We start from the raw sequence: 22480 nt of genomic DNA on the forward strand, positions 1-22480 counted from the left end.
TTACCTAGTCTCAGGTATTTCTTTATAGCAGTGTAAAAATGGGCTAATACAACTACCATAGGATGACTATAGTTAACAATAATATATCATATAGTTTTAAATAGCTAGAAGGGAGATATTGAATATTCCCAACACAAAGAAATGATAAATGTTTGATGATGAATATGCTAATTACCTTTATCTTATCACTATATATTTTGTGTATCAAAACATCACTATCTACCTGGAAAATATGTACAATTATTATATGTCAACTTAAAAATAACATCAAATAACAAAGAAATAATAACATAGAAACCTAGGGAAAAACTAGTATTTTTTTTCCTTTGGAGGATGGCATAGTTCATATTTTAAGATATAGAGAAGACAAATAAAGGCTTAAAAGTATCTGTTGGATTTAACAAAGGAGTTATTAGTGACCTTACCAAAAATAAGTTCAATTGTATAATAGGAAACCTAATTGCAGTGAGCAAGGAAAGATGAATCAAACATGAAGAGAGGAGACTTTTATTTTTAACCAATTGATTAAGAGGGAAAGTATAAATAATAAGTGACTGGAGAGGGAGCATCAAACTTAAGGATGGCTTTTTTTTTTTTTTTTTTTGGAACAGAGCCTGTCTCCATTGCCCAGGCTGGAGTCTAGTGGTGTGATCCCGGCTCACTACAACCTCTGCCTCAAAGGCTCAAGCCATCCTCCCACTTCAGCCTCCTGAATAGCTGGGACTACAGGCATGTGCCACCATGCCTGGCTAGTTTAGTAGAGATGGGATTTTGCCATGTTTCTCAGGCTTGTCTTGAACTCCTAGACTCAGGCAATCCACCTACCTCTGCCTCTCAAAGTGCTGGGATTACAGGCATGAGCCACTGCATGCAGCCATCTTTTTTGATAAATTATAGTTATTTAGTCCTTGAATACAGACGTTCTGTCACATAGTGCTTGCTATCCTTCATGTTGTCATGTACATTGGAGATAATTTAAAAAATGTGTTGAAATGAGTTTCAAGTCTGAATTCAAAAATAAAAAACAGAAACAAACTCAAAACCTCCAATGCCTTTTGTGGTCACCTACCACTTTTGGATCATATATGTTATTCAGTGTTTTCCCCTCTTAGTGAGAAGACTATCTTAAGTTGACTTTTCATTCAATCTCCAAGGATCTGAAAAGATGGTTCTGTGATCATAATTAAGAAAGCATCAGGAAATGGGTCAAATATCAGCAGGGATGACCAATAAGGTAAATTACTTACTTTGACTCTTTTTCACTCAGGTCTACATCATCATAAATAATAACTTCCTGAGACTTAAGTTCTAGGGTCAAGACAGAATCAAAATAGTCCATTATTAAGCATGGTTTATATAAGCACTGACTTTCCAAATTATACTCAATTACCTAATTATCCAGGTGCATCTTCAGGTCTGTTTTAGCAAAATCTGATCATAAAATACAGATAGGCTAGAAGAATCAAAGAATAAAAATATTCTCTATTTGGGAAGAAATTCAACTGAAAGATTAAAAAAAAGTGTGATGTCCCAGTATCTCAAAACATATATATTTATATTAATTTGCTTTTACATAGAGTTCCAGAAAAATATGAGTTGCTCAAAGAGTCATTTTTAGACTAAGTTCCCATCTTTCTGGAATTGAACAAATATGCTATACTGCTAGAATAGTGAGAGGTCTTTTCTTAACTCCTAGGGGGGAGAAACAGCTTAATAGAACAGTAATGTTGATTTTTCTTCCATGGTTTTTATTTCAAATCATTGGCAATTGCTCCTATACAATAATCTTGCATAATGTTGAATCTGACTCAGTGCATAATAATAATTAGGCATTTTCATTTTAGGATATTCACATTCCTTGGCACTCTACATAGAATTACATGATTTTCATTTGATTCACCACTGAACAAGTTTGAGACCTTCTAGTATAATTATTCATAATTATTCACTCCCTTATTTTATTAAATACCTTCAAATGTGGGTGGGGATACAATGCATGCCTATTCTAGGTCAGCTTTTTTCTTTTAAACACAGACCAAGGATATGTTGAGATGTGGGATTTTATCAGGTATATATAATTGTCATTTGTCTTTTAGTTCAGCAAACTCATATTTATGAAATATAATATACTTTTGAATTGTCAAGTTCGAGTGACATCCAGGTAGCCACATAGCTAGAACCCCTAAACAAAAACTAACAAACAACAGAACACATGACCCTCTTTTATTGACAAATTCAATGTACTGAACGTGTATTGACAGCCTACTATGTGTCAAGCACCGTGCTAATTTATGCACTATTATTTTAATGGAAAAGCAAACAACATTCCAATGATCCATTCTCAATTCAGTTAGTTTGCTGGTGGCAATGTGATCATATTCAGTTAGTGTCTTAATTAGGATGAAGGATATCAAGTCCTTCAAAAGGCAGTATGGTAGAATGCAAAATGCATGAGTTTCATAGTCAGAGAGCCTGGAATACAAATCCTGGATCACTTAAATATGGTCCTACAGCTTCTCTAAAAAGGGATGATAACATTTATTTTTCTGGGATTTTAAGAGGAACACATCTGCCCCAGGGCATGGTATGTAGTAGGTACTTGAGAAACACTACTCATCTTCTCCAAAGTAAAAAAATACTTCCGTGTGAAACATCTTCTTTGATTTTGGTAGAGCAATTTTTCATCAAATGTGGGAATGCAGGAAGGGTTACCATTTCTCTTTCCCTGCCTCTGAATATACAAAAGCTGAGTACTTTTGGTCTGCAATAAGCAAATGGCACTTACCTAAATCAGGCAGCAAAATGGAAAATGCACTGTTGATTGACAAAAGACACAAAAGAGTTAAGGAAAAAAACCATGTTTGGAAAGATGAGCTGACAGATCTCCAATAACATATTGATGATGCTGGATTGCCCTTCTTGCCCTGGTATTCTCTGACTCCAAGTAAAAATAGTTTCTCTGGTATTAACAGATGTCACAAGATGTGCACAAGATGTTATGGGAACACAAAGGAAATGGGTAATCCAGGTTTGGGAAGAGAAGTTCAGGGGAGACATTCAATAAGGGACAATATTTGATCGAATTTTAAGGGAAAACTAGAACTTTGAGAACAAAAGAAGGCTGGAGGAGGGCAGGTACATTCCAGACCATGAGAATGTCATGTTCAAAGCATGGAGGCATGAGACACCATGGCAGAGTCTGAGATCTATAGCTATGTGGATGGGATGGTAGTGAGAGTAATTTTAGTGAGAGACAGAACTAGAGAAGTAGAATGGGGACAGCCATGAAGTATTTACTTGCCAGGGTAAGGAACTGGATATTTATTCTAAACGTAGTATGTAGCCAATGAATAGTTTTGAGAGAAAGGTAATCAGATTTGCATATTTAAAACATTAGCATTCTCATCTTGATCAAATATTATGGGACTGCCGGTTATCATGCCAATAATTTTCTCTCAGAAAACATCTAATCTGCTAAGGCCAGGGTCTGCCTTTGTGCATAGGGTCTCGCTGACCACACTCCCTCTTCTTCCATATCAGGACTACAATTTATAAACCTCATGTTTTGTAGGGTCTCTTGGTAGATCTAGATCCAATTGACAGTTGAACTTAAAGCCACAAAACTCTGAGGCTTTATAATCAAAAAGAACTTCAGGGTAGAACAACATAATTCCATCTCACTATAGGTAATTACCTTGGGCAAATTATTTTAGCATCTTCTGCCCTCACAAAATACATCTCTATGTCTGTATATCTACACAGATGTTCCCAGCCTTACAATGGTTTGACTCCCAATTTTTCTGCTTTACAGTGGTGTGAAAGCAATACGCATTCAGTAGAAACCTACTTCAAGTATCCTTAAGACCATTCTTTTTCCACTTTCAGTACAGTATTCAATAAATTACATGAGATAGTCAACACTTTTTATAGACAGGCTTTGTGTTAGATGCTTTTGCCCAACTGTAGGCTGATGTAAATATTCCAAGCATGTTTAAGATGAGCTAGGCTAAGCGATGATGTTTGGTAGATGTATTAAATGGACTTTTAACTTAACATATTTTAGAGTTGCAATGAGTTTATTGAGACACAACCCCATCATAAATTGAGGTGCACCTGAATATCTACATCTATATCTATCTATTGCCTGCAAAGCGTCTCCAGGGTCCCCCTTCCATTATATGCAGGAGAAAAGTGGAATGCTGTGGGTGTATAAAGGAAGTGATATGCCCACAGTTGTACATGGAATAAATGGCAGAACTGGTACTAGAATATAGAATCCAGGTCCCCTCACATCTCTTTCTAGTGCTAGTGAATTTGGAACCTCTCTCAAAACTGGCAGTTAGCCTAGGTTATCTCAGAGGATCTTTTCCAGGTCTAAGACCTTGCAATACACGAACTGTTCAGCTGAGCAGCTCATCTCCCCCTTCCACATATTGCTGCTCTCAAGGGAGATAAATTAAATATGGAACAGTAGACAAATAAAAACTACTGGGGCTTGTAGGGCCCCAAAAGCATAAAAGGACATGGTAAGTAATGCTTAGTGGTAACAACAGGAATAGGATGTTAAGGCTGATGAGGAAAGTTTCCTTTCTGGACTTCGCTTAAGATTTTCCCTCTACCCTTATTTTCAACCCTTTCTCTGCCATTTTTTCAAAGGAGCATGCCACTTTCTCATTAATTAGTCTCTGTGCATGTAGTTCAATCAAAAATTCACAAGAAAGGGGCAGATGATGGCCAGACCCTTGGTTTTAGTTTCTGATATCCCCTTCACTGTTTCTGAGATTGGATGGAGAACATCAACTTGTGTATCTACCAGGTTAATCCCCTCGTGGAAAGGGATTTAAAGGGACTTTTTACCTTAAGTTTTCTTTCGACTTGGTTTTCTTTATTTTAAATCTATCCTTTTCTTTCTTGAAGAATTGCTGCAGTCTTTTGAGTGCTTCTTTTCCATCTAAACTGAGAGGAATCACAGGATATAAGTAACATGGCATTTAAGAGAGTACTAGAGATAGAAGGCTGTTGTATTATAAAATCAAATGCCACATGTTCTCACTTGTAAGTGGGAGCTAAACAATAGGTATACATGGTCATAAAGATGGAAATAACCGACACTGGGGACTCCAAAAAGCGGGAGGGTGGGAGGAAGAATGAAGGTTGGAAAGTTCCCTATTGGGTAAATGTTCACTGTTTGGGTAATGGGTAGACTAGAAGCCCATACCTCATCATTAGGCAATATATTTATGTATCAAACCTGCACAGGTACCTCTGAGTCCATAAAAAAAATAAAGAACCAGAGGCTTTGTTTTCATGTCCAAAACACATCTCACTCAAGAAAGAGCAAGAAGATGCCTTATTGAGTTCTATGCTTTTCTTTGTTTAGATGTGATATGAAGTTGCACACACCAGTCAACTATGAAGGGAGTAATGATATTTCAAGACAAACTACTGCAAGTAATCTCTATTTTGCAGATTTTATGAAGCAGTCTTCCCTTTAGAGGAAAAGATAACTCAGGGAAATGTACTTTACAAACTGTGCTAGAAATACGTTATAGAAAATCCTGACTCTTGAAATTCTTATCATTGATTTTTAATTTACTGAATAATATAGCAGTGATGGTACATTGATTACCCAGCTGATGATTACAATTCTGTCAAATATCCTTTTGGGGCCTTTAGGGGGTAGAGTGAGGGAATGATATACCCACATCGTGCCAACCAGCATGCCCAGTTCAGGGTCTTTTTCCCCTTGAACCCTTAAACTCCTTGCTTTTGACCATTGCCGTTTTCTTTTCCACAACATGTCCTTAATAACTAAACTTGTAGAATAATACCCATCTGAACAAATTTTATTCTTGATAACACTGAATCACACTACATGTTATATTAAGCCCAAATCCCGGAGATAGCCTTACTAACTTACAGAGACACAGGTAAGTCATAACCATTAATTTGTTCCTGGAAAAACAGCTATAAAATTGAAGCAAGTTTTATTAATATTTACATCTCTTTTATTACTTATTTTCTAACCCAATATCAAAATCATTTACTCTGGGAAATGGGTATTTCTCAAAAGCGAGAACAATGTGATTTAATATTGATAGTATATGATTGTACACAATTACAAGTATCCTATTGATCACAATTGTAATATTACAATAGGTTATCATAACTCTCAGTGTGAATCTTTCCTAAAAGATGATGATGGGAGTCGGGGGTGGCAGTGGGGCTGGGGGGCGGATGGTGGGTCCTCACTGAAACTCTGGCTTTACTAGACTAACAGGAAGTCATTAGCCTACAAAGCCAAGAAAGAGAGAAACTCACTCTATCTTTGGGTAGTTGTTCTTTGTTTTGTAGACATCTTCATACAGTTCTCTATTTTCTTCTGAAATTAGAAGAAAACCCTACTTATATTCATTATAATAGCAATAGTTCAGATTCATATTTAACAAAAAGTATTAGATACTTACTAGATGCTAGGTACTTTGATCTTTCTTTTGTTAAATAGTTTTTACTGAAACTCACCCACATGTTTTTAAAAGCATATGGTAAAAATACTTAAACCTCTATAAAAGTATGTATAAATGAAAATTAAGACTCATTTCCACCTGATTCCAAATTTGAACTGATTTAGTCAAAGAAAGTTGGTTCTTCAATAGATTCCTTCCTTCCACCCTCCCTCCTTCCTGTATTTAATACATAACAATCAGAATTTACTAAGCATCAGGCATTGCGCTGAATGCTGGGGCAACCATGGAAAATGAGATATATCTTGAATAATCTCTCCCTTCACAGCATGGCTTTGGCCTAGCCCAACACATAAGCTTAACATACACAGTTATACTTTAATTCAATCCTGAAACAGAGTCTAATGGAAAGAATTTTGAATATCAGGGTCAGGATTTTTAGGTTCAAAACTCAACTTTAACACACAATGATCTTAGAGGAGTCACTTCTCTATGTTTCAATTTTCTTTTTAAAATGAGTGTACTGGGTTTAATGATATTTAAGGTTGTTTTTCCCTCTAAACTTCTGAGATTCTAAGATCAATCAGAGTAACATTTGATTCTCTCCACTCCATTGCTTTTTCTTTTTCTAAAATTTATTTTAAAATTGACAAATAATAATTATATATACTTATGATATATAACATGTTTTGATAATTGTATACATAGTGGAATGACTAAGTCAAGCCAGTTAATGTATTCATTACCTCACATATTTTTTGTGGTGAGAATTTTAAAATCTACTCTCAGCAATTTTCAAGTATATAATACTTTTGTTATTAACTATAATCACTGTTGTACTATAAACTTCCTGAAGGTACTTCTCCTAATTGAAATTTTGTATCCTTTGACCAATACCTCCCCATTACTTTTTCATTCATGAATTCCTTCATTCAACAGATTTTTTTGAATATCTAACATGTACTTGGCATTATGCTAGGGGCTGGAGAAAATGGTATGTATAAAGAAGGTAATAATCTAGGAGGGGAGACATTAATTAAAAAGTCACATAAGTATAAAATTACAACTGTGACAAGTACTATGAAAAAGAAGTCCATGGTACTATGAGATTGTACACCAAGGAGAATATTCCCTGTGGAAATAATGATTGAGCTGAGATTAGAAGATTAAGAGTCAGTGAAACAAAGGTACCCAGGGGAGGAAAGAGCATTCCGGAAAGGGAGGGAAAAGCATATGAAAATATCCTGCTGTTGGAGCTTGGCAAATTATACAAGCTAAAAGAAGGTCAGCATAACTGGGTCTCAAAGATGAAGATTGAGTACAGTGTGAGATGAGGCTCCAGAGGTCTGTAGGGGTAGGTTAGTCAAGGACTCTAGATCATGTCAGAAGCCAATCTTAAAAGTATTGGAAAGCCAAGAAAGTGTTTTAAGTAAAAACAGTCCTATAATCAGACTTACACTGTGAAAAGATCAGGAAGGAAGTAAACTCACTTTTACCATAAGAATGCTCTTACCAGCATCTTCATGTTCCTGATTCTAAATGCATTTATTAGCACATACCTTGGTATTGCTGTTAGCACATATCTTGGTATTGCTTCTCTTAGCTTCCCACAAATTGGCATTATTAAAATATGAATAATTAAAAGACATCTTATCACTAATCAGCCATAGAAGCATTCTGCAATTCCTACTGGCAACTTCAGAAATGTCTTCCTATACTTACCACTACTTGAGGCAAGTGAGCTAGAGTAGTTCAGCTTCGGTCTATGGGAGAAAATAACAAAGACCATTATTGTACCTTTAAAGTCTCATCACATTCATCTTGCTGAAAGACTGGAATGTTACTTACACCTCTTTCCTGGAGTACTCGACATCATCATATATCTCCTCCGAGATGGAACTTGTCTTAGAGACCCCTAGGTCTGGAGTTTCTTTAGTTGACTCCAAAACCTCCAGATGCCCACCTGAAAGGAAACCAGAAAACCTGAAAAACATCACATCAGCTGCCATCATAAAGTCATTCACACACATCACTGGCAGTGGAGGCAAGCATAAGAAAAGGCAGATTAAATGGGCTAAAATTGGATTACAGTCTTGGTATGTATGATCCTTGGGCAAGCCACTTCACTTTGTAGAGCCTCAGTTATGATTCTCTGAAGTTGAGGATAATGATGCTAACACCGAATCATGTGGTTTTGGCAAGGATTAAATACATATTTATGAAGGGTGCTGGTTACCTAGTAAACTAGTAACTCCCTTCTTTGATGGTTCTTCCTTTAATCCCTGACCTCAAACTTTGAAGTCTACCAGGGTACATCCCTGGGGCTTATCTCTCTACATCTAGATGATCTTATCCAGTCTTACGGCAGTTCTTAAAGCAAAATTTCTCAGACAAGTCGATTGAGCACATATCAATATATATTATTCATTAATTCATTCTGGAGTTAGCCAGAAGATAGTGTGCCAGGTTAACAAATGTATAGGGATTGTTTGCACAAGTAGATGCTGGCTTACTTCACAGAGTTGTAAACTTGTCATAACCATAAAACTGCCACCTCTTTATCTGTTGGCATAGGTTAATATTTAGGGTATGGGTAATTCATAGCCATATTCAGATATGAACTATTAATCAGAAATAGAAAGTAATATACTTGAGAAATAAACAACAAGCACATTAACTGGTATCTATTAATTAAATGAACCAAGCAATAAGATTTTATCCTCTGACAAGAAGTCAGTGAGCGTGTAGGCCCCAAACCATCTCAATGAATGTCAGCTCTCAGAGGCATAAGGTCCTACTTTTTCTCAAGGAGTTATCAGTAAATTTCTCCAATACAAAATAAAGATGCTGAACACACACAGTTTCTTCTTAGTCTGCAGCATTTATTTCCTTCCTCAATCCTTCCTTTTGGCTGAAGCAAATGCAAAAGTTTATGCCTTCATTTTAAAAACACTGACGACTCTCAAATTTACATCTCCAATTTAGACATCTCTCATGAATTCCAGATACTTTATCAGCCTTCACACCATTTCCTTTTGGTTGTCTAAACATATTACATTCCAAACCAAAATCATAATTTCTCTCTGCAAGTTTGCTCTTCCTGAAGTTTATTCAATCTCATAAAAGGGGCAATTCCATCCTTTATGTTGCTCAGGCCCAAAACCTTGGAGACATCCTCGATTCATTTCTCTCTCATTTCTCACTTCCAATCCAAAGCCATCTGTCCACTGTAGTTTCAAATTATATTCCGATTTCAAATACATCTCAGCAATTCTACCATAGTATCCTCCTCCAAGCTACCACCATTTCTCACCTAAATTATTGCAATAACCTCCTAACCGGTCTCCCCGATTTATCTCACATTTTATTTTCAAGACAGAAGCCAGATGATTTTTTAAAATGCAAATCAGGTCATGCCTTTCTTGTACTTGCAAAAGCTTTCAGTGGTTTTAAAAATCTCATTTATGGTAAATGCTAAAGTTCTTGCAGTGATCTACAGAAGTCCCTTGTTATTTCTGTGACCCCATCTCCTACTATACTCTTCCTCGGTTACTCTGTTCTAGCCACACTGGCCTCCTTGCAGCTCCTCCAACATATCTGGCCAACTTCTGCCTCAGGGATTTGCACTTTTTTTCTCTTCCTAGGTCATTCATATCCTAGATACACATATGGCTCTCTTCCTCAACTACTTGAGGTTTTTGAAGTAATCTATGAGCACTTTAAAATGGCAACCTCTATCACCTCTACCTGCTTCTTTAATTCTCTTAGCTTGCTTTATTTTTTCATATTTACTATTAATACCATTCAATATAGATCTTTTATTATTTATTGTCCGTCTCCTCTGATCCGAAAGTAACCTCTGTGAGAAAAGGAATTTTTGCCTGTTCACTGCTATACACCCCCATTTCCTAGAACAGTGCTGGGCACATAAAAAGTACTTAATATATTTGAATTTCGAATGATTTGAATGCATGTGTCTTCTCACTGGTGAATTTAGTGCATTACATTTATAGTGTTTACTGATATTTTTAAATTTTTATCTATTATCTTAGTACATATTTTTATTTGTTCCATGTTTTTCTTATCTTCATCTGACTAAAGTTTCTTCTCTTTCTGCCATTCTGTTTTCTTTTCTATTTGTTTTCTTTCATTTGTTATCTTTTAATAGTTACCCACAAGAGTGACCACTGTCCTGACTTCTAATACCAGCGGTACTTATTTTTGAATGTTTTAATAATGGAATAATTTAGTATGCACTCTATGGTGTCACCTACTTTCCTTCAATATTATGTTTGTGAGATTCATCAATATTGTTGCAAATAGTTTTTTTTGCTCATTCAGATGACTTTATTCTATTGTGTGAATAGGTTACCATTTATTTATCCATTCTACTTTTTATGGGCATCTGGACAGTTTCCAATTTGGGGCTATTACAAAAAGTTTTGCTATAAGCATTTTGTATGTGTGTTTTGGTGCATTAAACTGTGCACTTATATTGGGATATATACATAAGTACTGAATTGCTAGGTCATAGGATATGCATTATGTTCAACCTTAGTACTGCTAAACAGTTTTCCAAAATGGTTGTCCCAGCTTACAATCTCCACAGTGAATGAGAGCTTTAGTTGCTCCATATCTTTACTAACACTTGATATTTTTAGTCTTTTTTATTGTAGCCAATTTGGTAGCAGAATTGAATTTTCATAGTGTATTTGCCTTTTGGATGGTCTCTTTGGGGAAGGGCTGTTTCAATATTTTTCTAATTTCACTATATTTCTTTTATAAAAAATTGATTTCTAGTTTATGTTTTCTGAATACCAAGCATTCACAGATGTATATTCCAAATATGAGTCATTTATCAAATATGTATATATTTGATACATAAACGGTATATGTAAATAATGGAAATATCTTCTCCGACCCAGTGACTTACCTTCTCACTCTTTTTTAACTTTTTTTTTTTATTTTACTTTAAGTTCTGAGATACATGTGCAGAATATGCAGGTTAGTTGTGCCATGGTGGTTTGCTGCACCAATCAACTCGTCATCTAGGTTTTAAGCCCCGCATGCACTAAGTATTTGTCCTAATGCTCTCTGTCCCCTTGCCTCCCACCCCTGACAGGCCCCAGTATGTGATGTTCCCTTCCCTGTGTACATGCGTTCCTCATTGTTCAACTCCCACTTATGAGTGAGAATGTGTGGTGTTGGGTTTTCTGTTCCTATATTAGTTTGCTGAGAATGATGGCTTCCAGCTTCACCCATGTCCTTGCAAAGGACATGAACTCATTCTTTTTTATGGCTGCATAGTATTCCATGGTATATATGTGCCACATTTTCTTTATCCAGTCTATCATTGATGGATTGTTTCCAAGTCTTTGCTATTGTAAATAGTGCTGCAATAAACATACGTGTGCATGTATCTTTATAGTAGAATTATTTATAATCCTTTGGGTATATACCCAGTAATGGGATTGCTGGGTCAAATGGTATTTCTGGTTCTAGATCCTTGAGGAATCACCACGCTGTCTTCCACAATCGTTGAACTAATTTACACTCTGACCAACAGTGTAAAAGCATTCCTATTTCTCCACAGCCTCACCAGCATCTGTTGTTTCCTGACTTTTTGATAACTGTCATTCTAACTGGCGTGAGATGGTATCTCATTGTGGTTTTGATTTGGATTTCTCTAATGACCAGTGATGATGAGCTTTTTTTCATATGTTTGTTGGCTACATAAATGTCTTCTTTTGAGAAGTGTCTGTTCATATCCTTTGCCCACTTTTTGATGGGGTTGTTTTATTCTTGTAAATTTGTTTAAGTTTCTTGTAGATTCTGGATATTAGACCTTTGTCAGATGGATAGATTCCAAAAATTCCCTCTCATTCTGAAGGTTGCCTGTTCACTCTGATGATAGTTGCTTTTGCTGTGCAGAAGCTCTTTAGTTTAATTAGATCCCATTGGTCAATTTTGGCTGTTGTTGCAATTGCTTTTGGTGTTTTAGTCATGAAGCCTTTGTCCATGCCTATGTCCTGAATGGTATTGCCTAGGTTTTCTTCTTGGGTTTTTATGGTTTTAAGTTTTCCATTTAAGTCTTTAATCCCTCTTGAGTTAATTTTTATGTAAGGTGTGAGGAAGGGGTCCAGTTTCTGTTTTCCGCATGTGGCTAGCCAGTTTTCCCAGCACCATTTATCAAACAGGAAATCCTTTCCTTATTGCTTGTTTTTGTCAGGTTTGTCAAAGATCATATGGTTGTACATGTGTGATGTTACCTTCTCACTCTTTTAACGGTATATTTTAATGATTGTATCCTAGCTCTTCTAATTCTTTCAAGGCTAAAGCAAATTAATACCATTACTCTCTTCCCAAACAATTATCAACCTTAGGACACTTTAATCACCTTCTCAATATAAGCACTATGAATGTTCAATATTTTATAATATTTTGCTCCTTCCTCAATTTGACGTTATTTTGTTGAATTAATGCTTTTGCTTAACTTTTTTTCTTGCATCCACAACTTTCTATCTGTGATTATCTTCCTTCTGCCTGAAGTACATGCTTTAGAATTTCCTTCAGTGCATTTTATCTGGACAATAAAATGTCCCAGTTTTTATTTGTCTGACAACATCTTATTTTTCTTTCATTTGTGAAAGGCATTTTTATGAGACATAAAATTTCAGGTAGATATTTAATCTCTTTCAGCAAAATTATATTCTTGTTACACAGGAGAAATCAGCAGTCAGAACTCAGTTGTGTTTTTTTTTTTTGTGGGTGATTGGTTTTTCCCCTTTGTCTGTTTTTAAGGTCTTTTAAGATATTCTCTTATTCTTTAATGTTCTTCATTTTGCATGGCTAGGCATAGATTTCTGTTTTTTATCCTGCTTGAGAACTTTAGGGTTCCTGGCTTTGCAAATTTATCTCTCTCAACAATTTTGGAAAATTCTCAGATAGTATTTGTTTTATCTATTATTTCCTCTTCCTCACTTTTCCAGTATCCTTTTATGGAATTCTGATTTTTCTGATTTTATTACAATTTTAGACTTTTCACTTTACCTTCCATGACTTTTATCCTCTCTTTTACTCTTTTTAAAATCATTTTTCCCTATAGAATGAATTTTGGATAATTTCTTTAGATTTATCTTTTAGTTCACTAATTTTCTCTTCAACTATAGGTAATGTGATATAAAATGTAATCATTGGCATTTTATCAATTTATCAATTATTATTTTTTCCTTTTCAAATATTTTTAAAATATGGCTATTCTCTATTCATATTATCCTCTATTTTAAAAACATATTAAACATCTTATGTGTTATACCTGATAATCCTAATATCTGCAATATCTTGTAGGTTGGTTCTGCTATCTGTTCCACTGGTTTTCCCTCACTGTGAGTTGTTTCCTTGTGTTTGGTTATTTTTGACTATCAATTGTTAACATGTAAAGAATATTTTGAGGGGATTATTTGAAATCTGGGATGAAACTAAATAGGGATTTGGATCTCAGCAAAAATCATCAAGGCAAAAGTTAGCTTTGGCATGCACCTCCCAGGTTTCCTGGTTACTGCCGGCCTGTGGGTGCTTTTCTTTATAAATCAGTTCTGTGGTACTTTTATGAATGTTTTAAAAAATTTATTCTTCACTTTGTTTTAGTCAAGAGAGTCATTCATATTGCCTAGTCCACCATATTTTTAGACACTGAAGTTTGATTAATCCTTTCATTCTACAAAATTAAATTGGGTTTCTCCTGTGTGCTCGATACTTAGCCAGGTTACAGAGATACAGAAAAAAAATACCAAATGGTCTGTGATTTCAAGGTGCCTACGGCGTGCCATGGGAGATAACACATAAATCATGAATTGCAATGTAAGGCATGGTATAATTTTTCAAAATAAAAATAAATGAAAAAGACTAATAGTTACTTAATATATGATCCAGAAACTTTATATGCATTGACAAATAGCCTTAGGAAATTAGTAGTAGTATCACCATTTGCACATGAAAGTAAGTACATTTTCCAAAATCACGGGGTTAGTATAGAAATGCTTTATTCCAGATCCTATGACTGTGGCCGTTCTGTTGCTATTGAAGTGTCAACTGAAAGGGTAGCAAAACCAGGAGTGGAAAAAGTGATACCAAGTCACTATGATATTGTTTGTGTCCCTGGATCCAACCATGGCTAGACTTTCTGCTAGGTGAACCTCCTTTTCTTTTTGTGTTTAACATAGTATGGTTTGATCACTGTTGCTTCCAATCAAGGGTACCGACTAACACGCAGGTAAAATGCAACCTGAATAAAGTCAACAAATGATACCATAGTGTATCACCAGTACATGTCAATGATGATGTGAGCCTAGACAACAGGAGCTAGTATATATATAAAAAAAAGAACAAACATTTGCTGAGTACCTATCATATAATATACTGTCAGATTTGGTCCTCATAAAAGCCCTGTGAGGTCCATATTATGATGATCTCTTTTTATAAATGAAGAAATTGAGTTGCAGGAATATGAAGTCACTTACCACACAGCTTACTAAGTATTAGAGCTTAGGTTTGAACTCAAGACTTCTGCTTTTCAATTCAGTGTTTTTTTCCACTACTGCACAGCTTCCTCACTAGGGCAAGTTGCTTGGCACAAAATAGATGTTCAATAAATATTGGTAAAATAAATTAAAATTTTGGCCATGCTCAGCTATAAAACAAATTGTAATGATGAAGAAGATCAGAAAGAAATGCAACTTACAGTGGCCTTGGGAGTGCCTGGCCAGCTTTGGGCCCTCAGGGCAGGGATTTGTCTGGATGATGTCAATCATGGCCTCTTGCTTTCCAGCCAACATGTTCCTTCTACCTGTGTGGACGTTGGTCATCTGAATTTTTTCAGGTGTCCCTTCACAGGCATCTACCTAAACATATGCAAAAGGGAGAATACTGTAGGGCTGTGACTTACCTAATCAGTTCTTTGCTTACTTGTACAGTTTTTCATTCATTCCTCATGGATAACAATTATTTATCATTTATTTAACATTGAATAATATCTTACTAGACTCTAAGTTTCCTGAAGGTGCATACTATATCCTTCATTACCTCTGAATGTTCAATGAATGCCTGGCACAGAGGCAGCTCACAGGAAGCAGTCAGGATACAGGGTGTACTGACTATAGGGCAGGCTTTTTATATTCCATATAACTTAATCATCATGATACCTCATGAGAAAAGTATCATCAGTTCTCTTGATAAAGAGTTTAGAGAGGTTGAGTAACTGGTCACTGGTTCCACAGTTAGTAATCTACCTAGGCAGGACTTGACCCCAGAACCTTGTTCCAAGGGATGCTATGTATTCCTTTTCATTTCCTTCTTTTTGCCTACATTTTGTCTTCCCACCCACCATTCTTCTGTTCCTTCTCACTTCTTTCTTCACTCCCTTTCTCTAGCATTTGTCAAGCACTTACAGAAGGCAAGACAACATGCTAAGCTCTAGAAGTAGAGACAGAGTTTCTTAACACATTGGTCTTGGAGATAATGCATGCAAATGATTAATTAGGGTATAATGTGATGAGTGTTATTTACAGCAGTATTGCTCACTGTCTTGGAAACAGAGAGGATGAGGAGGTTGGTTCTCTTGGCTGGGAGATGGGTTAGAGAAGACCTCGAAAAGCAGATTTTATTAAATTGTATTTTCCAAATGTCAGTAGGAGATTGACAGAGTGGATAAAGGAGTATCTGGCAGATAAATCAGCACAAAAAAAAGGCACAGGGGATTTGGGGAAGTGTTTGTGTCCTTATAAGGGTAGCAAGGAGGCTGCTGATAAGGTAAGAGTTGAAGGAAAAAGATAAGGGAAGACAGCCTGGCGATGAGGTTGAAAAGGTAAATGAGAATAGGGCTGAGTTATGAAGGGTCTTGCATGCAAAGCAAAGAGTTTGGGCTTTATTTCTTAACCATTAGGAGTCAGGCCAGGGAAAACCCTGATCACATTTACATTTCAAAATGTTCTGGATAGACTGACAGGACGAGACCCTGGAGAGAGAGAAAATTAGAGTATTTTTGGCCATCTAACTGTTTTATAATTGTCCAATGAGAGAAAGGTAATTGTCCTTCTGACTACAACAGAGTAGAGATGAGGATTGACTATGATAATACATTTGAAAGTACTTGGGAAAAGCTAATGTAATTAATAGACATAAGGAGTGGATTATCCTGAGTTTTGGGTGGAATCTTAGGGAAACTGTCAGAAGAATAAGAGGAGGGGCATTCTTTTAGGTCATAGTACCAAGAATTAAATGTATAAATGGGGAAAATTGACAAGAAAGTAATGAAGTCAGTATTTTGCAGAAATATAGTGACCACCATCCTTCAATGTAGTCCCATAATGAAAGCAGCCCCTCATTCACCTAACATATTCTAAATCACATTTAACAATTTCTGGAACCCAAACTCACTCCATAAAAGAAGGAAGTGACTCTTCGTTAGTAGTTTGAGCCCATATCTGGCTTACGCCACATAGCCAGCATTGAAAAAGAGCAGAGCTTGTGATTTTTCATGGCTAATATCCTTAGTCATGTATCTCTCCTGCCCTCTCATATGCTCCTAATCAAACCATTCCTGATCTCTAACTTGACAGCCATTGATGGCTTGGCTTTCACACCCAGTGCTGCTCCCCTGGCTCTGGACCTTGTCTTTCTTAATTAGCAACTTACTCCATCCTTTGAATTATGCTGCTTTCTGATGCTCTCTGAACACCCAACATGGTCCAGCCCAACCTCTGGACCTACATGCCAGTTCAGGCTCATACAGCCAACATGCTGTTTGACTTACCCTACTTCTGCAGATGGGACTGGGACAACTGCATCTTAAAAGATAGGCACATCTCAAACAGGTATCTAATGTGAGTACTGGCAATAGCCCTGGTGGTGTCTATTGTTTAAGCCTCCTGCCACCCAACTGCTTTGAAGCAGATGGGGTCAGTTGGATATGGATATACACACATTCACCATATTTAATATTAATGAAAGCAACAAGAATACATTTCATTTGTATGGTAGCTTATGGCTTATGAAACACTTTCTTGCACATTATTTTATCACCACAAACGAGGTAGAATTGGCATGGGAATGGGGATGGTAATTGGGTAGGAATCATTTATTTTCATTTATAGATGAGGTAACTGAGCTCAGAGACAAGTCACTCTTCTAAGCAGGGCCTTAGGGCACAACGTTTAAGGAAACTCTCACTCCAGGGTAGTGCAAGGGCAGGGATGGCACCTGAGAGTGGGTACTGCCTTATAGTTTGCACCCTGGGTTTCTTGTTGGACTTAATCTAGTCCCAGCCCTGCTTCTAAGGTCGGCTTCATGGCTAAAAAGTGGAAAATTAGGGGCTGGAGCTTAGTGTCATTGTTACATTTATTTCCTTGATACAATATCAAATGCCCATTGCCTTTTCTAACTCTGTCTCTCTGAAGAGCTCTCTCAGGCCATATAAAGTCACCCCCATGAACTGATCTGTTATATGTCTAAACTGCAGGAACCGTAGAACATAGGTACCTTGAAAACATGGTTTGAATATGGTTCCTTTTCTGTGTTTTTAGGTTTCAATTCACATGGTTGTTTTTCCTTCATTTTTTTATCTTCATGTTTAGCACTGAAATGTGAAGAGATACCAGGAAAAAAATGAAGCTTAGAGTGTTTAAATGATAGTGTACTGTCCAATCCTAAATGAAATGAATGGGAAAAATAGATTTGAACAAATATGAATCATTTATCTTAGATGAAGGGACTAGGATCAGATCAATTATATACATAGCTTCCTTGAGTTTCTGCCTGTTCCAATTAATGCCACAGTGTCAATTGCTGCTTAAAATCTTCTAACTCCCTATTGCCTATAGGATAAAACTTAAGTTTCATCGTGATCTGGCTCGTACCTTTCTTTCCAAACTCATCTCCTGCTGCTTTTTACCTCCACTTTGGCTTGAGTCTAGACTCTCATAATTCCTCAAACCCACCACCCTATTTGAGCAACTCTCCTTTTTTATTATTTTTCTTTAGACATGCCTTCCACATCTTATACTGCTGGTAAATACAATGCCCTTCATGATATAGCTAAATCATCTTACCTCTGAGAATGCTTCCCTGATTCTCCCAAGCAGTCATACCTTCTCTACTCTTCTAACACTTTGTTCTTCCATATTGTCTTACAATACATCTATCTATGGATCTATCTCCAGTCCCTCCACTTTGCCTTGTCAACCACTAAAAATCAAGGCAGAACTATCTTATTCACATGTGTAACTCCAGCATTAATGCTGTGTAATCCATGATAGGAAAAGCTGGTTTTTGCACCTCACTTCTGTGTTGTTAAACTTCCATAGCAGTGATAATATTTTATTGTGATTTCCTATTTATTTGGTCATTTTACCCTCCAAGTAACCCCTCACTCCCAACTACTCTGGCTTCCCCTCCCATCTTGGATCAAGGGTAGAAAATATATTCTATTCAGTTTTGTACCTCAGAATCTAGCAGCATCTGAAGAGTAAAAGCTCAATAAATGTTGAACTAAATAATGAATCATTTGACCTGTGCCTTACCATGTGACCAGCACTGTGTTAGTGCTACAAGGTATTTATGAAAGTCATAAATTTAGGGACAGGCAGGAACTCAGGGAGAGAGAGGAAGGTAGCCCATCCAGCTAAAGCAGGTTTTCTCCATGATTCAGCACACGTTTTTAGATTCAACCAGGAAATTTTGATATTTGCTTCTCCAGAGCTCATCAACCATGCTTTTTAAAAATATATTAGAATAACTCCAGGGAGAAGGGCTAGAAACAGACTCTGAAGAGGCAGGTAAGAGCACTACTATGTGCCAGGGCATTCCTCTGGACCCAAGAAGTGTGAGAGGTACCAGGAACACCAAAAACATTAAAACATTGGCCCTACATACAAGGAGCTCCCAGACAGGAAGGGGAGTAGGGAGGGGAGGATGAATTCTCATGTTAGCAAACTACATACAGTGGCATTTGTGCAAACATACTGTGCAAACAGACCTTACAGTGGTACCACAGGCAAGGGATTGGTCACTTCTCTCAGGGAGTGGAATGAAGGAAGGGTTCATACATGAGGGGTGCTTGATGGATTAGTAGAAGCTTGCCAGACTGTTAAATTGGGGTGAATCAATGACTTAAAAGAGCAAAGGCAAAGAGACTTCAAACAGCATGGTGCATTTCAGAAATTGTCAGTTCTTTGGAATTCATGTTATTATTATTTTCCTGTTTGAGTGTGTGACTCTCCCACTAATTCAGGAGATCCTGAAAGCAATAGCGAGGTCTCCATCACTGCCAAAGCCCCACTGGTGAGCACATATCTGGCACATGTTGGGTACTCAGTAAATGTTTGCTGAGTGCAGCATGGGCTAGAACAAGATAAGAGGGGGAGGCAAGGCAGGATCATGGATCACTTCCTCTGTACTAGGCACCTTGCAAGGTGCCGGGGAAACTGAACCAGGCTAGCTCAGTTTGGAAACATAGCTGGCCCATAGAGGAAAACTAGTTCAGTCATCAGAAAGTCAGTGCTTGGACAGGTGCTTTTCTTTTGAAAGATAAAACTCACCTAGGTTCTGGATAGGGAAAATTCTTCCCAGGCTGAAAGTAAAGTGGAAAATGGTTATTTTCATAAATCAACCTGAATCAGGCTCTGTTGTTTGGTTACAGATCATTAGAGACTACACCAAAAGGTGAGGGGGATGAAGCCTCAGTAGAGAGCAAAGGCAGACACTGACCACAGAAAGTTCCAGGAACTGTTGCAGTGGGGCTGAAGATCAATCAGAAATGAAAACAAGCATTTCTGAAGTTATAGGTCATGCCCAAAGGAATGTATGATGTGACTCAGAAAAATTGTTGTATGCACACCTTTCCCAAAATGCATCGGAAACGTAAATAACTTCTAAATCCTATGAGAAAATATGAATTTGTGGGATTTAAGCAATATTTTACTGGGCAAATTGGTATTCACAAGTGCACAAGTAATGCTGGAATTTCTCCGTTACTCGCTGATCATGTGCCCTGTGATCACCGCTCAAATCTTGCAGGATCTAGATTTGGCTCCATTAAAATTATGTCCCAATGATCACAATGTAGCCCCTCATTTATTCAGTGATTATAGATCTGGTGACATTCATTATTTGGAATCTGTCTAAGAACTCTGAGAAGAATAGAAAATATCTAAGCATCTAAAATGCCATCACAAAATCCAGGTATCATAGCTCATTATACTCTCCTTTGAGGGCAGCCCTGGAAACCATTATTCAGAGACTATTGGTTCTTATTTTACACATAATTCTAGCAAATTAGATGCAGCACTGGTAGAATGACAAGTCAGACAGACCTTGTTTTATATCTTTGTTACATGATTTACAGGTTACTAAACCTCTCTGAACCTTAATGTCATCTGTAATATGGGAGCAGTGATATCAGCTCACAGGGTAACTATAAGGGTTAAGCACTACTGTCTATGCACAAGTGCTATCACACCAGAGGGACTTGGTACATGTTTGACCACATGAAAAACTCATTGCTAGACACAAAGATCGTGACAGTAGAAAAAAAGGGAAAAGAATACAAAAAACTGACTTGTGGTAGTTTGGTGTGAAGGGAACTAGTTCTTCTGCAAAGGCTCAAGAGCATCTCAAAAGAAGAGCATAAACTATGTTGACTCAGTCCCTTATAGTCAAGAATATTCCAAGTCATTAAGAAAGGAAGAGATCAGATTCCACTCACTGAGCTTAAAAATACAGAGATAAACACAAAACATGTATGAGAGTTAAAAGATTTAAAAATTAAAAATAATTGTATGTTTTACTTAAAACAGAAAATTGGGATAAAATGGGATAAAATTCATTTACTTGGCAAGTTCATTTGTGCAGAACAGTTTATTATTTGTTGATGTTGCCAGGTACATGAAGCATTTTAATAGGCTATTTCTACTGCCATTAATAGAAATAATAATCATTCATATTTTTCTAGTGACAAAGTGTATCCACAAATGAATAATCCTTACCAGCAAGCATAAGAGAACCAAAACAGAGAGATGAAGGATCTAGACTAAATGTACCCAGTGAGAAAAGAGTAGAACCTTAACTGATCCCATTAAAACACTGGGTAAGGGCCTTCTATGAGCTTACACAGTGCTTACATACTGTGTTTGCCTTACTTCTCCCAGATATTCAGTGAAACAAGTATTGGTCCCTTTATTTATTGAGCATCTGCTACTGCAGATACAGTAACCACAAGACATATGCTTCCTGTCCTCATGGAAAATATGCCTTTTCTTTCCTTCTTTTCTTTCTTTTCTTTTCTTTTCCTTTCTTTCTTTCTTTTTCTTTCTTTCCTCTTTCCTTCCTTCCTTCTTTCTTTCTTTCTTTCTTTCTTTCTTTCTTTCTTTCTTTCTTTCATTCTTTCTTTCTTTCTTTCTTTTCATTCTTTCTTTTTCTTTTTTTTTTGATACAGGGTCTCAGTCTGTCTACTGCCCAGGCTAAAGTGTAGTGGTACAATATCGGCTCGCTGCAACCTCCACCTCCTGGGCTTAAACGGTCCTCCTGCCTCAGCCTCTCGAGTAGCTGGGACTACAGGCATATACCACCACTCCTGGCTAATTTTTGTATTTTTTTTTTTTTTTGTAGGGACAGTATTTCACCATGTTGCCCAGGCTGGTCTTGAACTCATGGGCTCAAGTGATCTGTCTGCCTTGGCCTCCCAAAGTGCTAGGCTTATAGGCATGAGCCACTATGCCTGGCCAAGAATACACCATTTTATAGAGGACACATCTAAGTCTCAGAGAGGTGAAATGCTCTGTTTCAAGCACTTACTAATAAGCTGTATACCTTCATTTATCTTATTTTCATTCTCACAAGGACCTCAGATGTGAGTTCTTTATTATCCCCATTTTGCAGGTGAGGAAATGGGCATTCAAGATCACATAGCCAGGAGTTGGGATTGAGGCCAGCAGTGATTCTGCTTGGGCCCTAATCAGGTTGCT

The 22480-nt window shown here is 36.9% G+C and overlaps 1 protein-coding gene across 20 annotated transcripts in view; it reads right to left on the reverse strand.

The window, feature by feature from the left end:
• FYB2 (FYN binding protein 2) overlaps window positions 1-22480 on the reverse strand; it is a 108126-nt gene that overhangs the window by 17051 nt on the left and 68595 nt on the right. For 8 of the 20 annotated variants that reach the window (XR_007095697.1, XM_047448402.1, XM_047448401.1 and 5 more), the window contains 9 exons: window positions 20057-20088; window positions 18000-18096; window positions 15205-15364; window positions 8313-8427; window positions 8187-8227; window positions 6322-6382; window positions 4858-4956; window positions 2786-2814; window positions 1248-1308 (listed from right to left, as the gene is read on the reverse strand). Coding sequence is in view for 15 of the 20 variants with exons in the window: in XM_047448402.1 (XP_047304358.1) it covers window positions 1248-1308; window positions 2786-2814; window positions 4858-4956; window positions 6322-6382; window positions 8187-8227; window positions 8313-8427; window positions 15205-15364; window positions 18000-18096; window positions 20057-20088 (695 nt within the window). In the remaining 5 variants the exon portion in view is untranslated. Of the gene's footprint in view, window positions 1-825; window positions 4957-6321; window positions 6383-8186; window positions 8228-8312; window positions 8428-15204; window positions 15365-17999; window positions 18097-20056; window positions 20089-22480 lie in introns of those variants that run through there. The other 12 variants (XM_047448400.1, XM_011540899.2, XR_946570.2 and 9 more) reach the window with 11 other exon arrangements.

This window comes from Homo sapiens, chromosome 1 (genome assembly GCF_000001405.40).
Source record: "Homo sapiens chromosome 1, GRCh38.p14 Primary Assembly".
Lineage (NCBI taxonomy): Eukaryota > Metazoa > Chordata > Mammalia > Primates > Hominidae > Homo > Homo sapiens.